Source organism: Homo sapiens, chromosome 1, assembly GCF_000001405.40.
Source record: "Homo sapiens chromosome 1, GRCh38.p14 Primary Assembly".
Classification (NCBI taxonomy): Eukaryota; Metazoa; Chordata; class Mammalia; order Primates; family Hominidae; genus Homo; species Homo sapiens.
In genome coordinates, this window is record NC_000001.11 from 64,945,182 (window position 1) to 64,973,152 (window position 27,971).

General features: G+C 42.5%; 1 protein-coding gene across 11 annotated transcripts in view, besides 6 other annotated features; it reads right to left on the minus strand.

The window, feature by feature from the left end:
- JAK1 (Janus kinase 1) overlaps positions 1 to 27,971 on the minus strand; it is a 234,518-nt gene that overhangs the window by 111,953 nt on the left and 94,594 nt on the right. For 2 of the 11 annotated variants that reach the window (NM_001321853.2, XM_047419677.1), the window contains one exon: positions 11,753 to 11,836. The exons of 3 other annotated variants lie outside the window; for them this stretch is intronic. The gene's annotated coding sequence lies outside the window, so the exon portion shown is untranslated. Of the gene's footprint in view, positions 1 to 433; positions 11,837 to 21,151; positions 21,369 to 21,699; positions 21,756 to 27,971 lie in introns of those variants that run through there. 6 more of the 11 variants (NM_001321857.2, NM_002227.4, NM_001320923.2 and 3 more) reach the window with 5 other exon arrangements.
- Positions 11,587 to 11,636: an enhancer, noted in NCBI's record as "active region_1135". NCBI's record gives its function as "activates an Ori minimal core promoter by ATAC-STARR-seq in GM12878 lymphoblastoid cells {active_cell/tissue: GM12878}" and the evidence as "EXISTENCE:reporter gene assay evidence [ECO:0000049][PMID:35858748]".
- Positions 11,897 to 12,066: an enhancer, noted in NCBI's record as "active region_1136". NCBI's record gives its function as "activates an Ori minimal core promoter by ATAC-STARR-seq in GM12878 lymphoblastoid cells {active_cell/tissue: GM12878}" and the evidence as "EXISTENCE:reporter gene assay evidence [ECO:0000049][PMID:35858748]".
- Positions 14,935 to 14,984: an enhancer, noted in NCBI's record as "active region_1137". NCBI's record gives its function as "activates an Ori minimal core promoter by ATAC-STARR-seq in GM12878 lymphoblastoid cells {active_cell/tissue: GM12878}" and the evidence as "EXISTENCE:reporter gene assay evidence [ECO:0000049][PMID:35858748]".
- Positions 14,995 to 15,074: an enhancer, noted in NCBI's record as "active region_1138". NCBI's record gives its function as "activates an Ori minimal core promoter by ATAC-STARR-seq in GM12878 lymphoblastoid cells {active_cell/tissue: GM12878}" and the evidence as "EXISTENCE:reporter gene assay evidence [ECO:0000049][PMID:35858748]".
- Positions 17,267 to 17,366: an enhancer, noted in NCBI's record as "active region_1139". NCBI's record gives its function as "activates an Ori minimal core promoter by ATAC-STARR-seq in GM12878 lymphoblastoid cells {active_cell/tissue: GM12878}" and the evidence as "EXISTENCE:reporter gene assay evidence [ECO:0000049][PMID:35858748]".
- Positions 20,713 to 21,592: a silencer, noted in NCBI's record as "silent region_959". NCBI's record gives its function as "represses an Ori minimal core promoter by ATAC-STARR-seq in GM12878 lymphoblastoid cells {active_cell/tissue: GM12878}" and the evidence as "EXISTENCE:reporter gene assay evidence [ECO:0000049][PMID:35858748]".

The following is a 27,971-nucleotide window of genomic DNA, read 5'->3' on the forward strand; positions in this document are numbered from 1 at the left end:
CAAGATGGCAGTTCAAAAGAAGGTATACAGCAAGGGGTGAGAGGTGTCTGCAATGCACAAAAATATGTAAATTTCAAGGCATGGAAAAAGGTACTAACCCCATGGGGAGCAATTGAGAATATTAATAAAAATTATTAATGCAATTATCTTTTAACCCAGCAATTCCACTTCTGGGAATTTATCTGACCTTCTACATACAAAGTTACACAAATAGCACTATTTATAACAGCAAAAGTGCAGAAGCAAACAAAATGTCCCTTACATGGGGACTGGTTAAATAAGTCATGGTCTATTCACACGAGAAAATACTTGATGTACTAATAAGGAAAGAGAGGAGGATATATGGTAAAATGAAAAAAGCAAAGGGTGGAATAGTATATAGTATATATTTACCTTATGTACAATAAAAAAAAGAATACGAATATATACTTACATTAATAGGTCCTAGAGATGAGAAGAGCACTTAAGGAAACAGGGAACGAAGTTGACGGACAAACAAAAATGGGAGCAAACCTTCTCAATTTGTACCCTGTTATACTGGTTTGCTTTCTTTTTTTTTTTCTTTGACACAGAGTCTTGCTCTGTCGCCCAGGCTGGAGTGCAGTGGTGTGATCTCAGCTCACTACAACCTCCACCTCCAGGGTTCAAGCCATCCTCTGGCCTCAGCCTCCTGAGTAGCTGGGATACTCCTGAGTACAGGCGCCTGCCACCACGCCCAGCTAATTTTTGTATTTTTAGTAGGGATAAGGTTTCACCATGTTGGCCAGCTGGTCTTTAACTCCTGACCTCAAGTGATCCACCCACCTCGGCCTTCCAGTGTGCTGGGATTACAGGCATGAGCCACGGCACCCGGCCCTGGTTTGCTTTCTGAACCATGTCAATACAGTACCTATGCCAAACAAAATATCAATAACAATAATAAAAAAATAAGAAAATGTAAAGTTTAAAAATGCTTGCCAAGAAAGCCTTGTTAAGAGGGAGATCTACCACCCACAGTAGGAGGAGCATCAGAGCTGAACAATACAGAGATCCTCACACAGTGGTCGTCTTCTATTCCCCTGGAAGAATACAGGAGAGAGGAAACCACTTACTGACCACCTACCACTGGCTATGTGTTCTGCACATGTTATCTCATTTAATAGTCTAATTAACCCTAGCAGGTATAACCAACCCCCTCTCTGCAAATAAGTAAATGGTGGCTGGCAAGGCTTTAGGTAACTTCCCCAAAGTCATAGGTCTATGATCGGACCTCATGCTCTTGTCTGCTAAAACTTGCAAAGGTACATATTTATGCATCATAGTAAAAATTAAAATCTTCTACGTCAGCCAGCTACCCACAATCATACTTACTTCCACAGTGTTCTCTAATGTTCTTTGTTTTCTAGATTTTGAGAAGGTGTTTGTTGAATAAAGCAAACATTTTGCTGTTCTGAATTTTCCACTTACTGGGCACCAAAAAGAGTTAATTACGGGCAGTTTTTAAGGAAAAAAAGATGAACATAGTTTCAAATGAGAGTTATCCAAAAAAGTGGCAGTTCACAAAACAACTGAAAGCAGGGTCTCAACGAGATATTTGCAAACCCATGTTCATAGAAATATCATTCACAACAGTCAAAAGGTAGAAGCCACCCAAGCATCCAACAACATAGATGGATAAACAAAATGTTGTATATACATACAATGGAATATTATTCAGCCTTTAAAAGGAAGGAAATTCCATCATATGCAAAAACATGGATAAACCTTGAGGACATTATGCTAAGTGAAACATGCTAGTGAAAAAGGACATTATGGACAATTCCACTTATAAGAAGTAGCCAGAGTAGTCAAATCCATAGATAGAAAAAGTAGAATGGTAGTTGGCAGGAGCTAGCAGGAAAAAGCAATGGGTAGTTATTATCTACTGGGTACAGAGTTTCAGTTTTGCAAGATGAAAAGAGTTCTGGAGATTAGATGTAAAACAACGTGAATGTACTTAACACTACTGAACTGTAAGCTTAAAAATGGCTCACATGGTAAATTTTATGTTGTTTATTTTCCACAACTTAAAAAAAATTTTTTAACTGCCAGTTCAATATATTACAGCTGACATCTGTTTTTATCTCTCTAGAAACTTCTCATACCAGGTGATTCTGTTAACACTACAGATCACAGTGTCCCACCTGACCCCCATCCATGCCTGCACTGTCCACCTTCCAGACCAAGGGTGACACAAACACAAGTCTTTCAGGGAGATTTGATAAACAGACATCATCTTGGAGCAGCCAACTGTTCTCTATTCAAATCATGTGGATAAAACCTCATTGTGGCAGAACATAAGACCAATGAACAGGAAGCAGAATAGCAGGATTCTTACTGAGAAGGGGAATGCCTTTATATCCTTGGAGTCCATGAACCATGGGTCCTCCCCCAACCCCCTTAAGACATAGGCCAATAAATCCTTTTTTTTTTTTAACTTAACCAAAAAAGAATACAGGTACCCAACAGAAAAGCAGTTTCACTGAACAACAGGTCCCTGAACAAGAATTTTTTCACCACAGATTGTTTTGGAACTTTATCTGCAGTATCATATAGCTCTACTAAAACAGTAGTACACAAGTCCAAAATTTAGGTAGTAGAATTTCAAATTTAACATAACATTTCCAGCTGGGCCAGAATACTCTTATACCTCTGAAGGGAACAATGAATTTTTCAATTTAAATCTATACTATATAATATAGAGAGGGAGAGATATACAATTCATAGAAAGTTTATACAGAAATAGATTTAGAAATACAAATGTTTCCAAATTACCTGAGGTATAACATAGAAGAGAATGCCTAAATATTAGCCTGAAATTGAGGTTTTGGGTGAAACATTTGAACAATTAAATCCAAGAACAGGAGGGTAATACATAGAGATCCTTTATCTGTGCCTTATTTGAAGAACTGAGATCTTCGATGCAATGCTCCATTTACTATAGGTTGCCTTGGTTTGGTTCCCACTAATTATTGGCCAGGCTTAAATTTATTAAATCCAAATCTAATCAATGACTGTTTACTGACTGCCTAGGTATACTGACTCTCGTATGAACCAAGATACACAGACAAAGCAGCTCATATACTGAGCATAGTGCTAGGCTCTGCAGATTTTGTCTGACTTAATGCAAGCAAAGAGTGTATCTAAAAAGCTATCATGCTAGGTATTAATGTCAAACCAGTTTCATATCTAGAATCTGAAAGACACAGCATAAAGCTGAACAGAGGTGCCTGAGGCAAAATCTTAAATGTGAACTGTGTTCCCCAAGGAGTGTAGCTATAAGCTTGTCACAAGTTTTTGCAAAGATAAACTAGCCTTGTTGATTTCGCAGATCTCACCAATAAAATAACTTTCAAACACAAGGAATACTATCCATGTGAAATCATTATAACCACTAATCAGCATGAGATCCATGTTCTGAAATTGCTTTTGGGCTTCTCTCTTCATCATGAAAGATTAGCAGCCAGTAATTTAATCATAACAGGGGAAAAAAGAAGACTCTATTTTTTGTGGAAGGCTTTTCAACACTCACTGCAACACACCTGGTAAAAATAAAATGATAAAGCTTATCTCTCCCACAGGACTATCTTCCAGCCATTTAACATGGCTTCCACCTCACATCTCCAGAGTAAATCTTGAAATGTGGCAGCCCAGAATGTTAATGGTACTTGGAGGGAAATCTAACCCTTAGAAATACTGCTCAGAATTCTTGCAGTCTCTAAGGCTGTATATTCACCAAGGAATCTACAGAACTTACTGTCCTAGAAGTAAGAGAGATCACAATATATTTAAGAAACAAAAACGGTCAGAAGGGCTGGAGTGCTGACTGCAAGAAAGGGAATGGAAGGAAAGGAAGGCTGTGACCATGAGAGGCTCTTCATACCATGCTAAGGAGTTTGGATAGACTTAATCCTAACAGCAAAGGGCAGCTAGTGAAAGATTTTAAGCAAGGCAGTGATGTGTTCAGATTTGCATTATAGAATTGTTTATCCTGGCTTCACAGAAAATATCCCCACTAAGCAGAAAAACACCAGTCATCAAAGTAGAATACATTTCCCAACTAACAAAAAGTTAAGCAAAGGGCAATACATCACTGTCTTAGGGAAACCAGCAAACAGGTGATTTTAACCTGACTGATGTAAAAGTCAAAGCCCCGCCCCTACTCCTATTAGTCATGCAAAAATGTACTGCATTTACTAGGGTATTTCATCAGCCTAGAAGTGACATAAAGTTTGTTTCCTTTATTATAACCCAGTTGTACAAAAATAAAAATAAAAATCCTCACTACAACTTCACATTCAAGTGCACATTGTGCACTTACAGAATATCATTTCCCAGTGAGAAAAGGCATCAAAAGCAAATAAATTATTTTCATGTCCTTTGAAGAAAACTGTATCTGCCTTTATGATAAGGAATTATAATGGTCCGTATTTGACATGTTACTTGCCAGTGGGTTGCCTGTACAACAGTCAGGAAATCAGCAGCTTCCTGCCAATGTTTAAGGCCATTTGTGACTTAAGTTTCTGTTTAATTTTCCAGAATTACATACTAAAGGTCATAAAATTGGTTATAACCTTTGACACAGTAAATCTATGCATTCATCCTAATAAAGCAATTAGCAGCAGAAAAATGCTAATTGTGTGTTTTTAAAGGTTCCCTACAATATTCTGTAAAAACAGAAATAGCTTATTCTATCATAGATTACTTAAGAAAAATAAAATAAATTAACACAACTAAATACTACATTCAAAAATGATTATTACAAAGACTCTATTAAAATAGAATAAAAAAGTTTAAGAAGACAGGTATATGTATCCAGCAATTAAAATTACATAATACAGTACATATTTATACATTATCGATAAAGACTAGAAAAGAATAAGTAAAAACATAACAGCTTCGTGTAGGAGTAAAAAATGTCAACATTAGGCCGGGCGCAGTGGCTTACACCTGCAATCCCAGCACTTTGGCGGGCCAAGGCGGGCGGATCACAAGGTCAGGAGATCGAGACCATCCTGGCCAACATGGTGAAACCCCGTCTCTACTAAAGATACAAAAATTAGCCTGGCGTGGTGGCGGGCGCCTGTAGTCCCAGCTACTCTGGAGGCTGAGGCAGCAGAATCACTTCAACCCGGAGGCAGAGGTTGCAGTGAGCCGAGATCATGCCACTGCACTCCAGCCCGGGAGACAGAGCAAGACTCTGTCTCAAAAAAAAAAAAAAGTCAACATTAAAGAAAGCATTCTTCTTAAATGCTTACAGAATTATTATTACAATTTAAAAAACTAGAACAAAGTTTTATCATTCTTAGGAACAAACCAATCGTAGGCTGATTAGTTTGAACAAACATCCACACAAGTTCAGTGCTAGCCATCCGGCCAGCCCTTGGACTGAGCACCTAGAACATCTCACTCACCAAGTAACTTGATCTCTCTTCTCTCATAAGACACTGCCCTTCAGAATCCCCACGGTAAGGGGTGGACCCTAGACAATCCTAATTTCTCTTAAATAACCTCTAAATCTTCTACCCATAGATATATCTCAACCTCCTGAGAAGTATTTGAACAAATGAGTATTTTATTTCCTAAATTCTCTATGTGACTACCTTCTGTACCATTTTATCGCTCAGTAACAAATCCAGCATGATGATGGATTAAAAAACAATCCCTAAAGTGGTGGCCCAGACAGGTCTTAGGCAAGTCACTTAAACACTCTGATTCCTTTATTTCTCCACTGTAAAATCAGAAGGAGGTATTCTCAGGTGACTTCAATTTCTTACACCTCTTAAAAGTATTACAAGATTTTATGATCATTGTGTGCTAATAACCCTTAAACAGTATTTACTAGACAATGGCTATAAACTCAGAACCAAATATTCAGGTTCATGGTGGGCCTGTTCTCCATGACTTCTTAAAACCATTAGAACTATCAATTCTAACCTGAGAAAAGTAAACAAAACTCCAAGCCAAGAAGAAATTCGTTTGACTGCTTTGCTTTCTTCCAATATTCAAAGCAATATGTATTCTCATAAGTGTCTGGCTCCCAAATACCTTTCAGAGTCTCAATTCGACCTAGCATAAGCAGTATTTTCATCAGATTGGCAACTGTGTGGCAATATTCCTCTTTCAATGTTGCCTGATCCTTCCTTACTCCACTGATTTTTTTAAATTGAAATATATCAAGCATACAGAAAAGTATAAAGAACCATTGATCTTTAAAGAGGACTAAATAAGTCTCTTCACAGGGTTCCTACTACGTGCCAAACACAATGGCAGTGGTTCAGTGTACAAAGGTCAGCAACAGTGAGGACAATTAACCAAGGAAGTGCAATAATGTATACATTCCAGAATATGTCGCTTCAGGCATGACACAGAAGCCCTTAAAGCATACCAATGCAGGTAACACACTCAAATAAATACACCAGCAGCCCTTAGCTATAAACAAGTTCTGCCTTTTTTTTTTTTTTTTTTTTTTTTTTTGAGACGGAGTCTCGCTCTGTCGCCCAGGCTGGAGTGCAGTGGCTCGATCTCTGCTCACTGCAAGCTCCACCTCCCGGGTTCACGCCATTCTCCTGCCTCAGCCTCCCGAGTAGCTGGGACTACAGGCGCCCGCCACCACGCCCAGCTAATTTTTTGTATTTTTAGTAGAGACAGGGTTTCACCGTGTTAGCTAGGATGGTCTCGAATCCTGACCTCGTGATCCGCCCGCCTCGGCCTCCCAAAGTGCTGGGATTACAGGCGTGAGCCACCGCGCCAGGCACAAGTTCTGCCTTTTAAAGAATTCATTCCCAGTTGGTTGTTTGAAACTTGGCGCACATTTCCCCCAGACACACTGCAGTAAATGTGGTTAAGTTTCCAAGCCAACACACAAAAGGCCAATTTAACACATAAAGTATCTGAAACGCTATACATTTGCCCTGCCAAAATAGCAGGAAACATTACTGCAGCCAAAAAGAACCATAAGTGATTTTGCCATCTCAAAAGCAGGAGTGTGAGGGAAAGCAGAGTGTAGGTTCATAAGGGGTGCAGATGGAGTCTTGAGGTGGTGCCTAGAGGCCTTATTAAGGCAAGTGAGCTTAGGGATTGTGAAACCAAGGGCCAGGTTGGTCTGGCTTTGATCAAATCTAGGTTCCTCCACTTAAAAGCCGGGTACCTTTAAACATCAACCATTCTAAGGCTCAGTTTATTGATCTGAATTTCTGGCATAAACATTCAATAAACAATTAGGCATTTTATATAGTTTTTTCATTTGCTTGAGACTGTATAGCTTTCATTTTCCTTGATATAGGAGTATCCTTAACACCTGGCTGGGTTTATGAGTCATTATTAGAAAATGTTCAGTTTCCACCCAAAACAAAAACACTTTTTCAAAGTGTCTAGGCAAGAAATGTATAGGGAAGGGATCAATGAGAATGTATTGCACACTAGAACAAGATAGCCTCAATTAAAATGAAGCAACTAACACGGGACCAAAGACAGAAGAAAAAGGAGTCTTCCAGTAACAGAAGATAAGAAAGAGATACTAGGGAACTTCCAGATAACTTATGGGGCTGTTTACACAGGGAGGAAAAGAGAAGAGGAACAGTAAATAATAGTGGTAAACTCCAATAGGGTATTGGTACAAATACAGACAAACACACACATACATAAACACACATTCTCATTTAATTTTCACAATCCCATAAGGTAGGAGCCATTATTATCCTATTATCCTTTTACAGATGAGGAAACTGAGGCACAAAGCGGTTGAATAACTTGCCCACGATCACTCAGCTATGACTGATCATAAGCCAGGATTCAAACATACAGACTGGTCGCAGATTTGGGAGTCTAAACCACTATCTTATTACTGATGTTTCTGTAGTGGGAAGCCAACCATTTGCATAAGGAGGTTTCCTAAATCAGAGGTTCATAACTTGAATAATATTTACCTACAAAGTTACCACTTATAAAGGTGTAAACATTATGTAATCATTTACAGATTTTCTGGCAATATTCAGTATTTGGGGTAGCAGTGGGTAACTTTCGTTAAATGCTGCTGGATCCCAGGCACTGTCTGAAGCTATTTTGTAGGTTCTACCTCATTTAAGCTTCACAAAACTTCCTCTGTGACAGGTCTACACAGTCCATTTACAATTGAGAAAAAAATAAGGCTCAATTATGAGCCCAAAGTCACAGAGCTAGTAAGTGGCAGAGGACAGCCTCACATCGGCTCGTCCTGGTTCCAAGTCCAGCACGCTTTTCATAACACCACATCTGGTACGCTCAGACCCACACAGGTAAACACAGGACGTGTTATATAACAGTCAGGTAATATAAAGCAACAGTAAATCTCGTCTGACTTAAAATGTCAAAAACAGCAATACAACTTTTAAACTAAATATTTCACAAAAATATACCAAACTTACTTTAGGACAGCTAAATGAACCCAACTGCCCTGCCCCAAAACCTAAAAAACAAAAAATTTTTTTTTATTTTTTTGAGACAGAGTCTTGCTCTGTCCCCCAGGCCAGAGTGAAGTGGCATCATCTCAGCTCACTGCAACCTCTGCCTCCCAGGTTCATGCAATTCTCCCGCCTCAGCCTCCTGAGTAGCTGGGATTACAGGTGCGTGCTGCCACGCCCAGCTAATTTCTTTTTTTCTTTTTTTCGTATTTTTAGAAGAGATGGGGTTTCACTGTGTTGGCCAGGCTGGTCTTGAACTCCTGACCTCAAGTGATCTGCCTGCCTTGGCCTCCCAATGTGCTGGGATTATAGGCATGAGCGACCGCACTCGGCCTCAGGTCTTCTTTATATCTAACAATACCAAATACTATATTGTATAGACACATCAAGGCACATCTCCAAGGACCTAAAACTGCTTCAAAAACATTAGGTTAGAAGAAACAAGTTTCCTAGGTTCTCATTTTAAATACCAATGTCAGGAGAGAAAGAGAAAGAAAAGGACAAGTGACAATCCAGGAGAAAAAGTCTCTTTGAAGAGTAGAAACATGTTTTGTTGTTGTTTTCAATGCCAGAGAGCCTCAGATTTGAATTCTAGTTCTGCCATTTATTAGCTCTGCTCATCTGGAAAATGATGCCAATAAGATCCAAGTCTCTGGCTATTACAAAGATTAAATTAAATATCAAATGCAAAATACATAACCCAACAACTGACACAGTAAAAGCTAATAAATAGTCTCATGCCCGTGCCCACTCTCCTCCCCACGTGGGATGATGTGCTACAAATCCCACAGAGCTGGGAGGACATGACCTACCCCAAGCACACCTTAATCTTCAGACTACAAGATCCTTACAAGGTGCTTTGCTCGTTTTCCACCAAACCCACATCATGATTCCCATATTGTCCCAAAGCCTTTTTGCCTGTTTTATATAGGATAAGTATCTGTTTTATTATCTTGTTGTCACCACAGGTTGGGGAAACCAAAGGGCAACTATTTATTATTTATATTTCTATTACCACTCTCCAAAAAAAGGAGAGTTGAGGCTACCTATATAAATATAAAAGATATATACAACAGAACCATCAATTAAAAGAAGGATTTAACACATGTGACAAGTAATCCGATGAGGAGACTGAGGCAGAGAGATTATTGTAAGAAAACTGGATAGCAACTAAAAACAGGCAAATAACGTATCTTTGAGCTTTCTAGCAAGGAAACATAATGAGTTACAGATCACATTTTTTCTTTTTCTTTTTCTCTTTATATAAAAGAAAACACATCAATTTTTTTCTCTGAGGAGAGAGATCAATAACTTGCCCGAATTTATTTATCTAAGCCACTGGCAGAGCCAATGAGTCTTCCAAAATACTTGATGATCCTTTACAAAACTGTACCACCTATACAAGAATCAAGGATGTAATTTGACCGAATTCCCTTCAGTAAAATGTTTCCACTTTGAATCTCCTGCAAATTTTGTACAATTTGAGCAAGTGTACACAGGATCTGTGTTTATTCAATAAACAGCCGTGTGCCTACTGGGAAAGGTGACATTACGAAGAAAGAGATGGTTCCTGTCCTCAAGGGCCTCGTGACTGCATAGTGGAGGTGTGTCTGCAAAAGAACAGAAGCACAGACCAGAACACGACGTACTGGAACAGAGGATCACACACCACCAGGGGACTATGTGTATACACACCGCTTGTTGGGGTAGGGAGGGGCAGAGGAAGAGACCAGGGACATTTGAAGGGGCCTTGAAAGCTATGGAATTCTGACAGATGGAAAGCATGAAGCACGGGAAAAGTGCATTAAATGAACAAGAACACAGAAAAGCATGGGAAACATTGAAAGCAAAATAATGAATAATCTATTTTGGGACAGTGTAGAAGGAGAGAAATAGGAGAGTATGCTAGAAAGTTAAACTGAGGTTTTAGCATAAGGAACCTTTACTATCAGACTAAGGTGGAGTTTGGATTGTTTTCTATAGGCAATAGGGGCTTCTAAAGGCTTGTGATCAGTAGTCAGACACGGAAAGATAAATACAGCATGTGCTCACTTAAAGTGGGAGCTAAATAATGTCTGCACATGGACATAGAGTGCGCAATGATAGATCACCCAGGTAAAGAAAGCCAAAGGAAGGCTGCAGCAGTGGGGACAGCGAGTGGCAAAGGTGCTGAATACGAATACCAGGGAGGGAGCCCTGAAAGGGCCTAGGGAGGAGGTGGGGTGGGGCAAAAGCAAAGGGAGAGATCAGGGTTAGTCTAAGGCAGGGGGCAGCAGATCCTGGCCTGTGAGCCAAATCTGGCCTGCCGCTGCCCATTTTGAACGCCAATAAGCTGACGCATTTTTAAATGGTTGGAAAAAAAAGAAAAATATTTTGTTACAAGTGAAAATAGAAATGTCAGTGTCCATACATAAAGTTGTATTGGAGCACAGCCACACTCATTGGTTTACATACTGTCTATATCTACATTGGTGCTACAATAGCAGATTCAGTACTTGTGACAGACTGTACTGTGCTCAAAGCTGAAAATGTTTACTGTCTTTCCCCTCACAAAGTTTTCAGACTGCTGGCCTAGGGTTTTCAGGGTGGTGGATAGAGACGGTATTAACCAAAACAGAGAAATCATCCATTATTATGATGATGGGTCAGAAAGAAAGACGGTATCAATCTTGGAGCAGTTAAATGGGAGGTGTCAAAGGACACACAGCAAGGCAGCCCAGTGTGAAATGGAAAGCTCATCCCACTGAAGGGGCGTGGCACTGGCTATCCCCTCTGCCTAGTACATTTTTCTTACAGATCATTGCACTGCCTGGCTTCTACTCATTACTCATCCTTCAGGGCTGAATTTAAATGTCACTTTCTCAGACCAGGAGCCCTTCTCCCAACCCCCCAACCTAAGCATTCACTACCCATACCTTGCTAACTTTCTCTATTGCACTTATCACCACCTGAAATTATCTTGTTTATCAATGTGTTTAACATCTTAGACTGTTGGCTACTTAAGGACAGGGACCTTTCCTCTCTTGTTCCCCAGTGTCCCCAGTGCCTTGAATAGTGTCTGAAACTGTGCAACCAGTATTTGGGGGAGGTAAGGAGCAGAGAGGAAGGAAAATAAATAAAAAGGGACAACTGGAGCTCAGGCAAAAGTGGGTCATCTGCACAGTTTTCGCAACATATAAATCTACCATTCACAGAACCTTTAGAAACATCCTCATTGGGGGAGGAGGAGAAGTGAGAGAAAGAGACGATACTCAAAAAGAGAACAGAGACATACAGAGAAAGGAAGTCCTTACTGTGTCTCAGAAGCCAGGCACCAGTAGGGTTGAGGGACATCTGCCAGGAAGGAGGTTTTCAGCAGCATGAACTGTTTTAGATAACTAGGGCAGAAAAAAGGTGTTAAAATGTGACAGCAAGAAGGTCACTGGTGACCTCAAGGAAGCAGTCTCATGAGTGTAGAGGTGGCAGTCAGTTTGCAAAGGGTTAAAGAATGAGTGGGTGGGAGGAAGTGAAGGTTTTCAAGGTATTTGGCAGCAGAATGAAGGGAAAGAGGAAAGAGAGGAGAGGTGCTCTAGGGGCAACAGTGAGTGGATGGGATCCTTCCGTTTTTTCATGGGACACAAATCTCATCATGTTACTACCCTGCTTAAAAACTTCAACTTCCCCTAATGCATTATAAGGCCCAAAAGTAATAAAGCACATAAGGCCCTGCTTGACCAGGTTCCTTCCTGCCTCACCAGCCTCCACCTTTGTTCTCTCTGCACCAGCTGCAGGGTGTTGGTCCCACCATAGGTCTTTGGCACATATTCGTGCCTCTCACTGGAAATCCTCCTCATTCTCTTGGCACAGCTCTTTCACACTTCAGATTTCCATGTATAAAAGTGTACTGCAGGCCGGGTGCAGTGGCTCATGCCTGTAATCCCAGCACTTTGGGAGGCTGAGGCAGGCGGATCACGAGGTCAGGAGATCGAGACCATCCTGGCTAACACGGTGAAACCCCGTCTCTACTAAAAATACAAAAAATTAGCCGGGCGTGGTGGCGGGAGCCTGTAATCCCAGCACTTTGGGAGGCCGAGGCAGGCGGATCACGAGGTCAGGAGATCGAGACCATCCTGGCTAACATGGTGAAACCCCGTCTCTACTAAAAATACAAAAAATTAGCCGGGCGCGGTGGCGGGAGCCTGTAATCCCAGCCACTTGGGAGGCTGAGGCAGGAGAATGGCGTGAACCCGGGAGGCAGAGGTTGCAGTGAGCCGAGATAGCGCCACTGCAGCCCGGCCTGGGCGAAAGAGCGAGACTCCGTCTCAAAAAAAAAAAAAAGTGTACTGCAAAGACTCCCTTTTCTTACAACCCACCTCTGACATCTCTCCCGGTACTCAGCATCACTGTAACAAACAGTAATATAATTGCTGAATTGTTTTTTCAACTAGCAAGGAACTTTTCTAAGGGCAGGAGCCAAGCCCATCTTGTTCTCACATACAGTGAGATCTACAGAGAGTTGCTGAATAAAGGAACAAACATGAAAACCTAAGAGCATTTGTATTTCAGCCAGCTTGTAGATGGTAGGTGGCCTGCTTCCTAAATCACATCAAGTGGGCTTACAATTTATGTTTGGGCCAATATGACCTCCTCTGACTTCTTCCTACTTCCAACCAACCCAAGTGAATGGTCGTTCTACACAAGTAAAAACATGAGGTTCCTTGGAGTTACCACCATACATCAAATGATTTTCCCAAAAAGATAACCCGTATACTGTGATTCGTGGACTTGCCTTAAGTTTTACAGAATGGTTTTAACTGAACAAAATCAGTCAGAATATTAAATTAAGACATTAGCATATTACTTTTTAGTCTATGTTATGTGAATTAGTGCTAAAATGGGTTTGCAGGTACACCTGGCAAAAAGCCATTGTACTTCTTTCTTTATAATATATATTGCATCTGTCCGCATCCCTGTGTGTGATCCACCAAACTAGTTTAATAACAAAATTTTTATCTGGAAAGACACATATTTGGCAGATTATTTTTTCCTTGAGTTGTTTTCTGTTATCTTTTCTCTTAGTACAATATAAACATTATTTTAAATCATAATTGAAAAAAACTGTTATATAGCCTTACTACAACCTGATCAAATTAACTGTGCAAGCAAGCCTCCAGATAAAATTGTGCTTAACTGAATAAACTGTTGTCAGTTCTAATACCCTTAAGTCCTTAAAACACCATTAAAAACAAATAAGAGTTGCATTCATTACAAATGGTTCTTAGCTATTTCTACTTTATATTCAGACCAGTCTGAGTTACCAAGTGTATGTGAAAATAACAGACCTAAATTTATGTTTTAAATACCTACAGGTCAGCCTTTTCAGCTGAAGTGGACTTTCCTACCCACTCCCCCTCCATACAAATCAAATTAGGGAGCTTTCTTGTCTTTCTCATTCTAGAGTGGGAAGACAAGGGAAGATACAGCTAACTCCTTTGCTGTCAAAGCATATGGGATGAGAATGACATCAATAGCGCTTTTCCAATCACGTGGCAACAACTGTTCTTGAGTATAAATAATGCCCAGACCCAAGAAACCAGTCCAACATATACATCACCAAGAAGGAAATACATTTAAAATATTTTAAAACACACATCTATGATTAGGAGGAAGGGCCAACTCTTTGCACACTTTTACATTTTGGGTAAATCTTGCTTTAGGAAAGCAAAATATGTTTATGGAAACAGAAACTGTAAAAGGGCATTCCATAGAAACTGAATACATATTTGAGAGTCCCTTTAAACTCTTATAATTCCTTACCAGCAAAACTCCCTGGAGTATTATCTGATTTACAAGATATTTAATTTCCACACAACTCTGAAGACACCGTTTTACAAACAGGTATACATGGTGCCTCTGCCAATAGCCCACAACTTGCTAAGTAAACTGAATCAGTGAGGTCAACACAGTATCTTCACATTAACTTTCCCAGAAAGTCAAATACATTCCTACCAAATTATATACCTTGGATGGCACTTTAAATTAAATAAAAGCACCTTTGTTAGTCATTTTTCCTTAAAAATAAGAGTAAAACCTAATTTACCTAGCACCTTTGGCACTGTCTACGTAATAAACCCTTCTAGATTTGAGAAACTGCCTTCTTTTTTGATTTACTCATTGCTAACTGAAATCTAACATAGAATATATCTGTTAGTTTTTGTTTTGTATCTACTGGTGGCATCTTCCCTACTATGTTAAACATTCTGAATATAATTTGAGGGTTTTTTTTAAAATACACATCCTATTTATCAATCATTAAAATAAAATAAGCCAGGCATGGTGGTTCATGCCTATTATCCCAAAACTTTGGGAGGCCAAGGCAGGAGGATTGCTTGAGCCCAGGAGTTCGAGACCAGCCTGAATAACAGAATGAAACCTCTCTCAACAAAACAATTTAAAAATTAGCTGGGTATTGTGGCACATGTCTGTGGTTCCTGCTACTCGGAAGGCTGAGGTGGGGAGGATTGCTTGAGCCCAGAAGGTCAACGCTGACTTGAGTTATGACCACACCACTGCACTTCAGCCTGGGTGACAGCGCGAGACCTTGTCTCAAAATAAAATAAAATGTAAAAATAGCTAGCACATTTTCAGCTCATGCTGGCATCACTTCAAAATCTTAAGCATAGTCATTCAACCCTCAAAACAACCTCAGAGGTAGGTACTGTCTTTATTGTCATTCTATGGATAAGGAAACAGGCGTAACTTGCTTGCAAACTCACAGCTAGGATCAAATCATACAGTGTAGATCCAGAGCCTCCAAAAACAGACTATCAGAATCAAAAAACAAAACAAGGCTAAAAGACAATCAATCAGTCTGTTTTCTACTCAGAGGTACCATAAATTGATGTGATTTAGTCTCCTACAGCCGGCTTCAAGTTATTACTATCTTCTATGCAGACGGCCGCAGCTCCTCTTCCTAGGTTTCACAGTCAACCTTCTCTCGCAGCTCACTCTTAAGTAATCTTCCCTGAGTTAAAGCAAAGATTCCTCACTGGTGTTTCACCCTGAAGAAAACCTCTTCTTTGAATTTGTCTACAGAAATTCTCTGAAAGCAGCTTCTTATATTGTCCTCAGACCTTCTTACATACCTCCTAACCCCTAAATGAGACATCTGAAGTTGCCCTTTTCTGCTAGAGATGTGAACTTTCACTTCATTTATGCTCAACAACTTGACCTCTTCTTCATGGCTTGATGATCATTACCAATACCAAACACCATACTGTGCTGTGATTAACAATGCAACCTCAAATTGCTAGCTTGTTGACAATGGTGTTTGCCCTCCACTAAATGCCCCAGATTGTTTCACTTTTGAGTTTTGGTTCTCCTTGTCATAAACCAGTAGAAACTCCTTATTCACTTCTAAGATAAAAATTAACACTGCTTGCCTCTGAGAACATGTCTTCCTGTATTCATCCACTTAACAACTCTTGCCTCTTAGGTTTCTTGTATTTAATTTCCTAATGGCTTAAAAACCAGTTAGATAAACTGTCAAAAAAAAGTCTTTATAAATTAAAAGCAAATCAAAGTAGGTTTTATTCCACTGTAAGAAAAGCATGGATGAACTTCATGACATCTTGCTTGGCTCGAAGCCTTTCTTGTTTCCTAGTAGTCTTCTGGATAGTTGATAAATGGCAGATAATAAAAGGCGTTTTCTGGGATGGGGAGGAGAGAGTTGCACAATGGTCAGATGAAGCTCACCCTTCATAGAACTCTCAGTGCTTCAGGTCTTCATTTGCTAACGATGTTATTCTTGAGCTTGGAAACTTCAAATGGCTTCTCATCTTCCCCACTCATTCGTTCAACAGAGGCCTCAGTCCCTAACCTAACACTGCTCACAAATTTGTGGAAAGAGCTACGGTCTTCACAATCTGGATCCAACCTGCATGTCCTGCCCTACCTCCTTCCGCTCCCTCCCAAGCAGTCTTTGCTCTAATCTAGTGGCCACTTCCAAGTCTGCCACTGACACCACGTACATGCCCACTTTTATGTCCTTGCTCACACTGTATCTCTGCCTAGACTTCCTTCCCACCCTAAAACAAAGGAACTCCTACTCACTCCTGAAGGCCCAACTCAAATGAAGCCTCTTCAAAAAAGCATTTGACAAGGGCTCCACGCAGGAATTAGCTCTCTTCAGGGTCCTGGAGCTCTTAATTCTGACTGCTACTACAGCATCACCCACAATGTGTTACAGCCATGTATACCAAGTTTATTTCCATATAAACTATGTCTTATCCTTCTGCCAGGCACTTAATAGGTACCAAAGAGATGTCTGTGCATACAAAGAATGAATTAATCTGTAACATTAAAAAAAGAAAGATAACAAGGGGAAGCTACTTCCTAGTCCTCAAACTTCAAAGGAGTGCCATGAAGGGTTCTAGGAAACATTCTACAATCACAAAGATTTACTCTTTTACATGCATATAGTCTGCAACTGTAAAACTGAACATGCCCTCAGGGTCTTCCACTAGACTGTAAATTCCACACGAGGACAGATTTGTACCTGTTTTGTTGTCTGTCTATTCACTCTCTGAGATTCACTGCAAGAGCTCAACAAGTATTTGCTAAATGAATAAAAGAATGTATAAAATGCTAGTGTGAATAGTACTGTTAAATAAATTCAGTTACTGCAGATTAAAAATATCCCAACAAACGCCAGCTCTATCTTCTGGCCAGAGTAGACTTAAAAGAAATTATCCTTTTGCTTCTAAAGCAGGTCTTGCCTCGGGACTGGGCAGTTTATCCGCAGAGCACCAAGGAAGAATGTGTGCCCACTGCCAACTACAAAGAATCATGGATCATAAACCCTCAGAAGTGGAGGTATCACGGAAATGAGCTTAATGTTTTATGCTTTCCTGTCGCCTTAAACTGCCAAGAAGGCTGGTGCACCTCAGAGGAAAGAATACTCACAGGAATTAGTTTCCGGTCCCTGAAACCCAGTCATTTCAACATGACAGCTGTTTGAAATCCCATGTAACCAGAGGGTTTCTGAGACAGGAAGCAACAGTGGCACACCTAGCTGAGCACGGGGGAGAGTAAGAAGCAGAGAGGAAACAAGCTGAATGAGAACATGGCTTGGAGGCAGCAAGGAAAGTATAAAAACAATGAACCAGGCCAGGCGCGGTGGCTCACGCCTGTAATCCCAGCACTGTGGGAGGCCAAGGCAGGCGGATCACTTGAGATCAGAAGTTCTAGACCAGCCTGGCCAACATGGTGAAATCCCATCTCTACTAAAAAACAACACAAAAATTACCCAGGCATGGTGGAACGTGCCTGTAATCCCAGCTACTCGGGAGGCTGAGGCACGAGAATCACTTGAACCTGGGAGGCAGAGGTTGCAGTGAGCCTAGACTGTGCCACTGCATTCCAGACTGGGCGACAGAGTGAGACACCATCTCGAAAAATAAAAATAATAATAAAAACAATGAACCGATGTCTCTGATGCCTACTATAATGTAATTTACCTTTACATCGTAATTATTAAAAAAGAAAGAAATGAAGGGCACAGAAACAAGGAACACCTTCCTTGGTCACCAGCTACTCTCTCTCATCATTCTCTGAATCCTAACTGCTCTTATAGAAAAGAAATTGGCAAGGATGTGAGTGTGCTTAAATGGACAAGCGAGTAGAGCATGAATGACTTGTTCCCTCTATTTTCTACTTTCCTATATTTTCTAATTTTTCTATAGTGAATTCTCCTTATTGTTATGATGGGAAAAATAACCTTTGCTTAAAGAAATTATAGAGCTAAAAAGTACATGTTCTGACAATAAGAAAACTAAGTATACTAAAAAAACCTTTACCCCAAAAAATGAATAACAAAGAATTCGATAATATCAAACCATCCACAGGCGGCTTTTTACTCAACATATTGCCTTAACCCTGGTTCCCTCAACTACCGGTAAATCTAATGATTCACTTATGAAAAATACTCTTCATATTAGTTATGATTTGCATAGCACGTCACAGTTTCCATGCATTATTTACCTGACTTCCCCCCAAAACTCTGCGAGATGACCAGGGAGAATATTTTTATCTCCATTTTGCAAATGAAGAAAAGAGGTGCCCTGAAGTGAAAAAATTTGCCACAAGAGCCCAGATCTTCTTGCTCCTTACTCAGTATTCCAAAGCAGGACTTCTTAACCTGGGCACTACTGAGATGGATAATTCTTTGTTTGGGATGGGGGGCTGTCTTGTGCGTTATAGGATGTTTAGTAGCATCCCTAGCCTCTAACCACTAGATGCCTACCAGTAGCACCGCTCCCTTCCCCCAAGTTGTAACAACCAAAAATGTCTCCAGAAACTGCAAATATCTCATTGGGTGCAAAATCATACCCTTACTAGTCTAAAAAAATCTGAAAGTTCCTTCCAACACTCCTGTTCAATGACAAGGTTCCATATACCACTGAGCCACAATAATCACAGAACATCCAATGTTCCTTCTTCAGCGAGATTCCATTAATAAGCCAATTCCCCATCCACTTAAAATAATGGTTTTAAATGTGAAAATGAACAAGAAAAATTTATTTGTATGAATATTCACATCTCAGACAATAAATCTTCTAACAGCATGCTATTATCTTATCAGGACATAAGGACATACAAAATGGGATGTGTCTTTGAGGGGAAAAAAACACCAGAGGAATCTGAGAATTAGAAAACACAGATCATGGTCTTTGCTATGCAGTTATACCTTAGTGTTCTCTTGTTCTCTCTACACAAATGAGTATCAACCTACACGTTCTCAATGCTTGTTTCAGTCGGAAGTATATGGCTTTAGCCAAGCTCATGTTAAGATCCTAAATTACAACAACTGAAATGTAGTTATATTTTAGGAAATGTTTGAATTATTTTACCTATATCTAATTTATGCATTCTCTACAATCATTTCCCAATGGTAGTAAATAATTAGTATAGTATGAAATGGAGGAAACCATTTAAACTGGCTGTATTCAGTGTGGAGTATCACACTGCAATCCTAGCAGTAAAAAAACATAGTTTTGTATCTATTTGCAGAAACTAAGACTCAGTCAAAGCACTTAGTTAATATGATATACAGAATTAAGAAGAGGTTATGATTATTCCTATTTATAATGTCCAAAGTCATTCCAGTATGATGTCTTCACATCTTTAAATGTGATCTGGATCTATACAGGGGAGACATTTTCTCCACATTACAAAGCATATTGTACCAGAAATGTCTGGAACCCTGGTGGTCTCCATTAATCTTCACCACAAAGTACAAAAGAACACATTGATCCTTCAATGAAAATAATCCCCTGGTCTTGGAAAACATCAGAGTCACCAAAAGCAAAATCAAGAAACAACACATAATGGGGTTTTGGAAAGGGAAGAACAAAGATTCAATCAATACGAATTGCTCATCTTAAACAAAATCTACTGTGCCTATACCCATATTTAACTCAAATCTTTTCTTCAAAAAATAAAAAAATAGCCAAAACCAAACACGCCCTGATTTACATCTCTCTCTGCATTATTCTCATCACTTAACTACCCATGTTTTACTCCCTGAAAGAAGTAATGACAATTTTATACCACTGTAAATTCCTGCCAGTGAGAGAAAAACCCTATGACTTGGGGGGAAAAGTGTCAATGACATGTATAGCGATGTACTCAACCAGGGGCAGAAGGCAGCTCACAGCCACGTAGTAAGAAGAGTGGCAGGAAGGACGGGGTCCCCTTCCCCAGGAACACACAGGAAATCATGGAGTGCAAACCCTCCAAAAAACGTGTGCACAAACACCTGGCAAACATCGCATCTTTTATCTAGAAGTTCCGTGGTAAACACACATCCAAGGAGCCCACATCCCAGGGACCCTGGGGAGTGACTTTGGAGGAGTGTCTATTAGTCCTCCGATGCTCCCGGTCGCCGACGATGCGCGGATGGAGTTGGAGTGAGGGAGCCAGAGACCAGCCCCAGTTTCGGTTAATCAGTCCCTTTCCAGTGGGATTCGCAATTCCCCGGGTAGTTCTCTCCCACTGTTCCCCTTCCCTGGTCCTCTCGCCCAGGGTCTCCTTTCCCACTTCTCGCTGGCTACCTGAGGCCTGGTTCCTAACAGAACCTAAGAGGGGAGGGGGCGTTTCCCGAGTTCGCGGACGCCCAACACCCAGCTCCAAATCCCAGAAACTTTCCCTCGCTGAGACCGCAAGGAAGGAAAAAAGCTAAGACCCTCAGCCTCCTTCCTGGGGCCGAAGAAGAAAACCTTTCTGCGCTGCCACCCCGGCCGGGAGCTGGCGGTCAAGTTCGCGGTACAAGGAGCTAGGGACGTCAGCCCTCCAGCCCGCGCCTGTATCTCGGGGTGGTATAAACAGGATGTCAGACAGCGCGCTCCGGGCTTGTTTATGAAAACTTGCCGTGCGCGCTGGGGGAGGGGGCGGCCTGGCTTAACCGCTCTTCTCCCGGCCGGGGGCCCCCGCCCGGCGACCTCCTCGCCGCCCGCCGGCTCCGCGGGGCTGGAAATCCCCGCCTTCCCCGCCCGAGCCGCGGGGTCCTGAGCTGCGCTCAGGAGCAGCCCGGGCCGCGCAGCCTAAGGACCGACCAAGAGCGGTGGCCGCGCCTCCGGCCAGTCCGGGCTGCGCGCCCCTCGCCTGCCGACCGCGGCCGCCCCGGCTCCTCCACCTCCCCCGGTGACACTCACCACTTCCGTGTGCGCCTGGGCCAGGCAGCGCCCCGTCGCTGCGCTGGCTGGGGTCGACCGGCAGGCTCGCTAGGCGGCCAGCCCCGCGGGGCCCCAGCGTGCGCGCGCCCAGGGCTGAGGAGGGGTCGCGGCGAGGACAGCCGGGACTGGGCGCAGGCCCGCACTGTCTGCAGCTCCAGGATACTCCGCGGCCGCCGCGGCCTGCGCTCAGCGACGCACCGCCTCCCGTCCCGCCCCGCCCCGCCCCGCGGCCGGCCCCACCCCCGTGGCCGCCGGGCCCACCCCCTCGCGACGTCACCAGCGGCAGCCCCGGAAAGCGGGGCGGGGTCGCGGTCCCGGCGGAGACTCTGCGCCTCCGGCCTACCCGCCCCGCCCCCATCCGGCTTCGCTCGCGAAGCTGCCCCCACTCGTCTCTGTTCACCGCGTCCTCTAGATTCTAGAATCTAGAAACTCATCTAGGACGCGAGGTCATCTATCGCGGGGAGTAAAATTGCCAGGATTCGCCCGTAGATTGACCCCTCCCAGCTCTGGAGCCCCCTCCGCCACACCTTTGTGCGCTCGATGCAGAAATGCATCCCGCCTCCTCCGTATACGCTCCGCTTCTTACCCCAGCTCAGTAGGAGAGGAGCTAGTGGAGCACTAGACTAAAAAGAATTTAACAATACAGCCCCCAGCTTGGACAAGCTACTGCAGATCCAACCCATTCCGTATTTTAAAAGCTCTTTACGAAAAAAAAAAAAGCATATGCATAATAGGAATTAGAACTACATTCACTGATACCTAATGCATGTACAGCGCTTTTCATTTTTTACTAATAACCTCTCAAAGTAGTAGCATCATCTTATCCATGAGGAACAAATTAAGTCTTTAGTGTCTTAATCAAGGTCACACTGTAGCCAAGATTCATACTTCGTAGGCAGTCCACGGACAAATCCTAACAATTTTATTTCCTTAGGTATCTCTCCAATCAGTTCACTTGTCTATGTTCCGGCAACACGGTCCGAGCTGCCACCATCTCTCACCTGAAGGGACCACGAACATCTCTTAAATCGTCACTCCATTCACTCCAGCCCCCAATTAATTCTCTACAATGAACTTTTAAAAATTCAAATCTGTTCCACACACTCCCATGCTTAAAACACTCCAGCGACTTCCCCCTGACAATCCCTGGATGAAAATCCTCCGAGGCCGTGCACGGTCAGAATTCTGCAGCTTCAGGGCTGTGGACAGAGGCTGCCCCACCTGTGCTGACTTCACTAACCCTGCTGGACAGTTCCTGATCACTTGAGTTACTGCAACTGAAACTGAGCAAGATATTCTGGGTGTGGAATAAAGTCAAGCATCCGAATTAGACTACTGAATTTGAGGTTTGGCCTCCACCAGTAACCACCTGTGTTGCCCTAAACAATTCTTAGTTGACTCAATTCTCAGTGGAGCAGCAGACAAAAGGATCTCCAAAGTGCCTTCCAGAAGTACAGAAAAGAGGACCAAAGAAGACCGGAGATCAGAGCAGACAGGGAGGCAACCCGGGTTGCCTGCATTGTGGGTGTTTGTGTGCAAGTCTTGTCTCATCTGCCACACTCTGAACAACACCTCAGGGCTGTTTGCATCATTTTCTTCACCTGTTAAATAGGGATAATGCCTTCCTTAAAGGGGTTTTGCTGAAGGTGAACTATGATAATATAGCCCACATGGCATGGGCTCAGGAAGTGGTAGGGGTTTTTATTGAGCTGGACCATAAAGAACAGGTGAGACTGACATGAAGGGAGACAGAGACGTGAAAGAACAGCATTTCAGGTGAGGATGTAAAGAAAAAGGAAAGTCAGGAAGGCAGCAGTGAACCCATTGTGCCCACGAACGAATCTGGCTGTTCACAGGGTGGAATCAGGGGGAGAGGGCCTGGATTCAGTTTAGATCTGTTCGTCTATAACAGACATTGTGCTAGGTGATGAAGATTCAGAGAAAAAAAAAATAGACTAGGTTCCTGACCTCTGAATGCTCAATGCAGTCAGAGAGACAGGCAAGTAACAATTCAGTGATTCCCGGTCCTGTAATGGTGATCACAGAAGACAGTCACCCAGCCGAGTCTGAGGAAGTCAGAATAAGCTTCAAGTAGCCGACAGGAGGCAGGAGTCAGGAGGTAGCGGCATATTCAGGCAGTAATAGTATATGCTGGCTGGGTGTGGCGGCTCATGCCTGTAATCTCAGCACTTTGGGAGGCTGAGGCAGGAGGACTGCTTGAGGCCAGGAGTTTGACACCAACTTGGGCAACACAGCAAGACCCTGTCTCTAAAATAAAAACAAACAAACAAACAAAGGCCAGGTGCAGTGGCTCACGCCTGTAATCCCAGCACTTTGGGAGGCCGAGGTGGGCCAATCACTTGAGGTCAGGAGTTTGAGACCAGCCTGGCCAACATGGCGAAACCCCATCTCTACTAAAAATACAAAAATTAGCTGGACGTGGTGGCGGGAACCTGTAATCTCAGCTACTTGGGAGACTGAGGCACAAGAATCGCTTGAAGCCGGGAGGCAGAGTTTGCAGTGAGCTGAGATTGTGCCACTGCACTCCAGCCTGGGCGACAGAGCGAGACTCCCTCTCAAAAAAAAAAAAAAAAAAAAAAAGGTAAACTAGCTGGGCATGGTGGCACATGCCTGTATTTCCGACTACTTGGGAGGCTGATGCTGGAGGATCACTTGAGCCCAGGAGTTTGAGGCTGCAGTGAGCTAGGATCACACCACTGCACTTTAGCCTGGGCAACAGAGTGAGACCCCTTCTCTTAAAAAAAAAAAATAAGTATATGCTGTGTGACTGGGGAATGAGAAAAGTTGAATCCCATGCAAAAACTTTTGCCTAAAATAAAATAGTGGGTTTTTTTTTTTGAGAGATTTAAGGTTTTTGTTTTAGAAGAATCACCCTAGGGCAAGGGCTCTCAACCTCAGCACTATTGACATTGTGGGCTGGAAAATTCTTGTTGTAGTGGGGGTGTCCTGTGCATTGTAGGATGTTTAGCAGCATCTCTGACCTCTGACTACTAGGTGCTAGTAGCAAGTCCTCTTGTTCCCCCATCACACCCCCCCGCAACTCCCCACCCTCCTCCTTTCCCAGCTGTGACTTCCAAAAATGTCTTCAGACGTTGCCAAATGTCCCCTGGGGTGCAAAATCACACCCCACTGAGAACCACTAGTCTAGGGATAATGTGGAAGATGAATTGGAGGGCAAGGAGATTAATTACATGTCATTGTAAAACTGCAAGCTGCGAGAGATGACAGCCTATCTAAGGCAGTGGACTGGGGAAGGATACTGAGGAAGATGCAAAAGGCCTGAGGAGATAGAATGGACAGTGCTTGGTGACTGATTAGATGTGGCTACTGAGGCAGAGAGAGGAATCTCGCATGACTCCCAAATTTTCTGAATTGGTTAATAAGCTGACCAAGGATGCCACCGACTGGATGCCACCGACTAAACAGGATAAGAAATTCAGTTTTATGTTTGAGAAGAGGAAAGTTTTAAACAGTCACTGAGCCAGGCGTGGTGGCTTAGACCTGTAATCCCAGCATTTTGGGAGTTCAGGAGTTCAAAATGGGTTCAGGAGTTCAAAATGAGACCAGCTTGCGCAACATGGCAAAACCCTGTATCTACAAAAAATACAAAAAATAACTGAGTGTGGTGGCACATGCCTGTGGTCCCAGCTACTCAGGAGTCGAGGTGGAAGGATCACTTGAGCCCAGGAGATCAAGGCTGCAGTGAGCTAGTATGGTGCCACTGCACTGAAGCCTGGGAAACAGAGTGAGACCCTGTCTCAAAAAAAAAAAAAAAAAAAAACGGCCGGGCACAGTGGCTCACACCTGTAATCCTAGCACTTTGGGAGGCCAAGACGGGGTGGATTGCTTGAGGCCAGGAGTTCAAAACCAGCCTGGCCAACATGGTGAAACCCCGTCTCTACTAAAAATACAAAAAATTAGTTGGGCATGGTGGTGGGCACCTGTAATTCCAGCTTCTCGGGAGGCTGAGGCAGGAAAATAGCTTGAACCCGGAAGGCAGAGGCTGCAGTGAGCCAAGATGGCACCACTGCACTCCAGCCTGGGCAACAAGAGAAAAATTCCATCTCAAAAAAACAAAACAAAACAAAAAGGGCCGGGTGCAGTGGTTCATGCCTGTAATCCTGCAATCCCAGCACTTTGGGAGGCCAAGGCAGGTGGATCACCTGACGTCAGGAGTTCAAGACAAGCCTGGCCAACATGGCAAAACTGTCTCTACTAAAAATACAAAAAAATACAAAAATTAGCCAGGCGTGGTGGCATGCACCTGTAGTCCCAGCTACTCGAGAGGCTGAGGCACGAGAACCGCTTGAACCTGGGAGGCGGAGGTTGCAGTGAGCCTAGAGCACACCACTGCACTCCAGCCTAGACGACAGAGAGACTCTGTCTCAAAAAAAAAAAAAAATGCCACTCAGTAGAATATATGATATATAGGAGAGACACAATAGTGTAAAACAAAAGAATACAAATATTTCCTTCTAACATGCAATCCATGACATACATCTAAATTTAATTAAACCAAATGCAGTGTAGAAGCCTCTTATTAGAAAATTAATAACAACCACCCAACCATCAATCATACACACAGTTTCACACATAAATCTTCATCAAAAGAATATGTCCCCATCAGTCTTCCTCTGCAAAAGCTATTGCTTAGATAACAATGGGAAAATATGTTAGATGCAAACAATGATGTTTTTTCAACAACACTAAACTAAACTAAATCCCCATTGTACAAATCATGAAATTTGTTTCCAAAAATTGGAATCTGGAGAAAAAATTGACTGTAATCTTGCAAACCTGATATAAATCAGTCACCATATTATATGTTTTCTTCCCATTATCTTTTTCCACGGGGCATATTTTTCATATAAATATAGTCATGGCATACATGTCACTTTGTAAACTGTTCCTTAAACTTAATTGTAATTCATAAGTGTATTTCAATGTTTCTATACAAGTCTTCATAACGAATGAAGTTTTTCATGCAAATAATTTTTTTTTGAGTCAGAGTCTTGCTTTGGAGTGCAGTGGCACAATCACAGGTCACTGCAGTCTTGACCTCCCAGCCTCAATCGATCCTCCTGCCTCAGCCTCCTGAGTAGCAGGGACTACAGGTGCGTGCCATCACACTTGGCTGCTTTTTGCAGAGACGCGGTTTCATCATGTTGCCCAGGTTTCTCTGTCATACTTTTTTTTTTTTTTGAGATGGAGTTTCACTCTGTCGCCCAGGCTCGAGTACAGTGGCGTGATCTCGGCTCACTGCAAACTCTGCCTCCCGAGTTCAAGCGATTCTCCTGCCTCAACCTCCCAAGTAGCTGGGATTACAGGCACGTGCCAACATGCCTAGCTAATTTTTGTATTTTTAGTAGAGACAGGGTTTCGCTATGTTGGCCAGGCTGGTCTCAAACGCCTGACCTCAAGTGATCCACCCACCTCGGCCTTCCAAAGTGCTGAGATTACAGGCGTAAGCCACCGTGCTCGGCCTTATCTATCATACTTTTGATATGCATTTTACGGCATGTTATTTGCCCTAAAAAACTACACTTGAAGAAGTTCTCCATTTTCTTGTACTCAAATATGTTGAATTGTTGTGGGTTTTTGTTTGTTTGCAAACACTGTACTGCAGCCTGGGCAACAGAACAAGACCTTGTCTCAAAAAAAAGAAAAAAGTGTGACAGATACAATATTGCTATCTTTATTAAAGATCTCATTATTACAAATTGACAGAAGATACAATGACCCTAGTAGATGGTGGGCAAAGAACAAAAACAGATAATATTCCCCCTACCTACTCTTCCACATGCACATTGATATGTTAAAAGAAAAATAGAAACTAGTGAGAAAGCATATAGAAAATCATTAACTTCTTTAATAAATGTAAAAATTCAAATTAAAGCTACAAGATACATTTTTAAAACATTAAAGGTACAAACTATTTGAAAAATTATAATGTCCACTGTTTTAGACCCTGATAGGGTGTATGCTTTTCAGGGCAGTGTAGATTTGTGGAAACTGAATAGAAAGTAACTTGCCAATACTAATCTATGAATTAATCTAAAATTATACAGTCCATTTGACTCAATCCCATTTCTGTGACTGTGTTCTAAAGCAGTCGTTTTAATATACAGTTTAGGCTGCATGCAGTGGCTCATGCCGGTAATCCCAGCACTTTGGGAGGTCAAGGCGGGTGGATCACTTGAGCTCAGGAGTTTGAGACCAGCCTGAGCAACATGACAAAACTCCATCTCTGCAAAAAATACAAAAATTAGCCAGGTGTGGTGGCTTGTGCCTGTAGTCCCAGCTACTCAGTAGGCTGAGGTGGGAGGATCGCTTGAGCCTGGGAGGTTGAAGCTGCCATGAGCCACGATCCCACCACTGCACTCCAGCCTGAGTGATAGAGTGAGACCCTGTCTCCAAAAGAAACAAAACCATTTAATATTTATTGTTTAAAAATTATTTGCATAGGCTGGGTGGTGGCTCACGCCTGTAACTCCAGCACTTTTGGAGGCTAAGGTGGGAGGAATGCTTGAGGCCAGGAGTTCAAGACCAGCCTGGGCAACATAGGGAGACCCTGGACTCTATAAAAAATTTAAAAACTAGCTGGGCATGGTGGCATGCATCTGTAGTCCTAGCTACTGAGGAGGCTGAGGCAGGAGGATTACTTGAGCCCAGAAGGTAGAGGCCACAGTGAGCCATGATTGTGCCACTGCACTCCAGCCTGGGCAGCAGAACAAGATTCTGTCAAAAAGAAAGAAAGAAAAAGAGAAAGAAAGAAAGA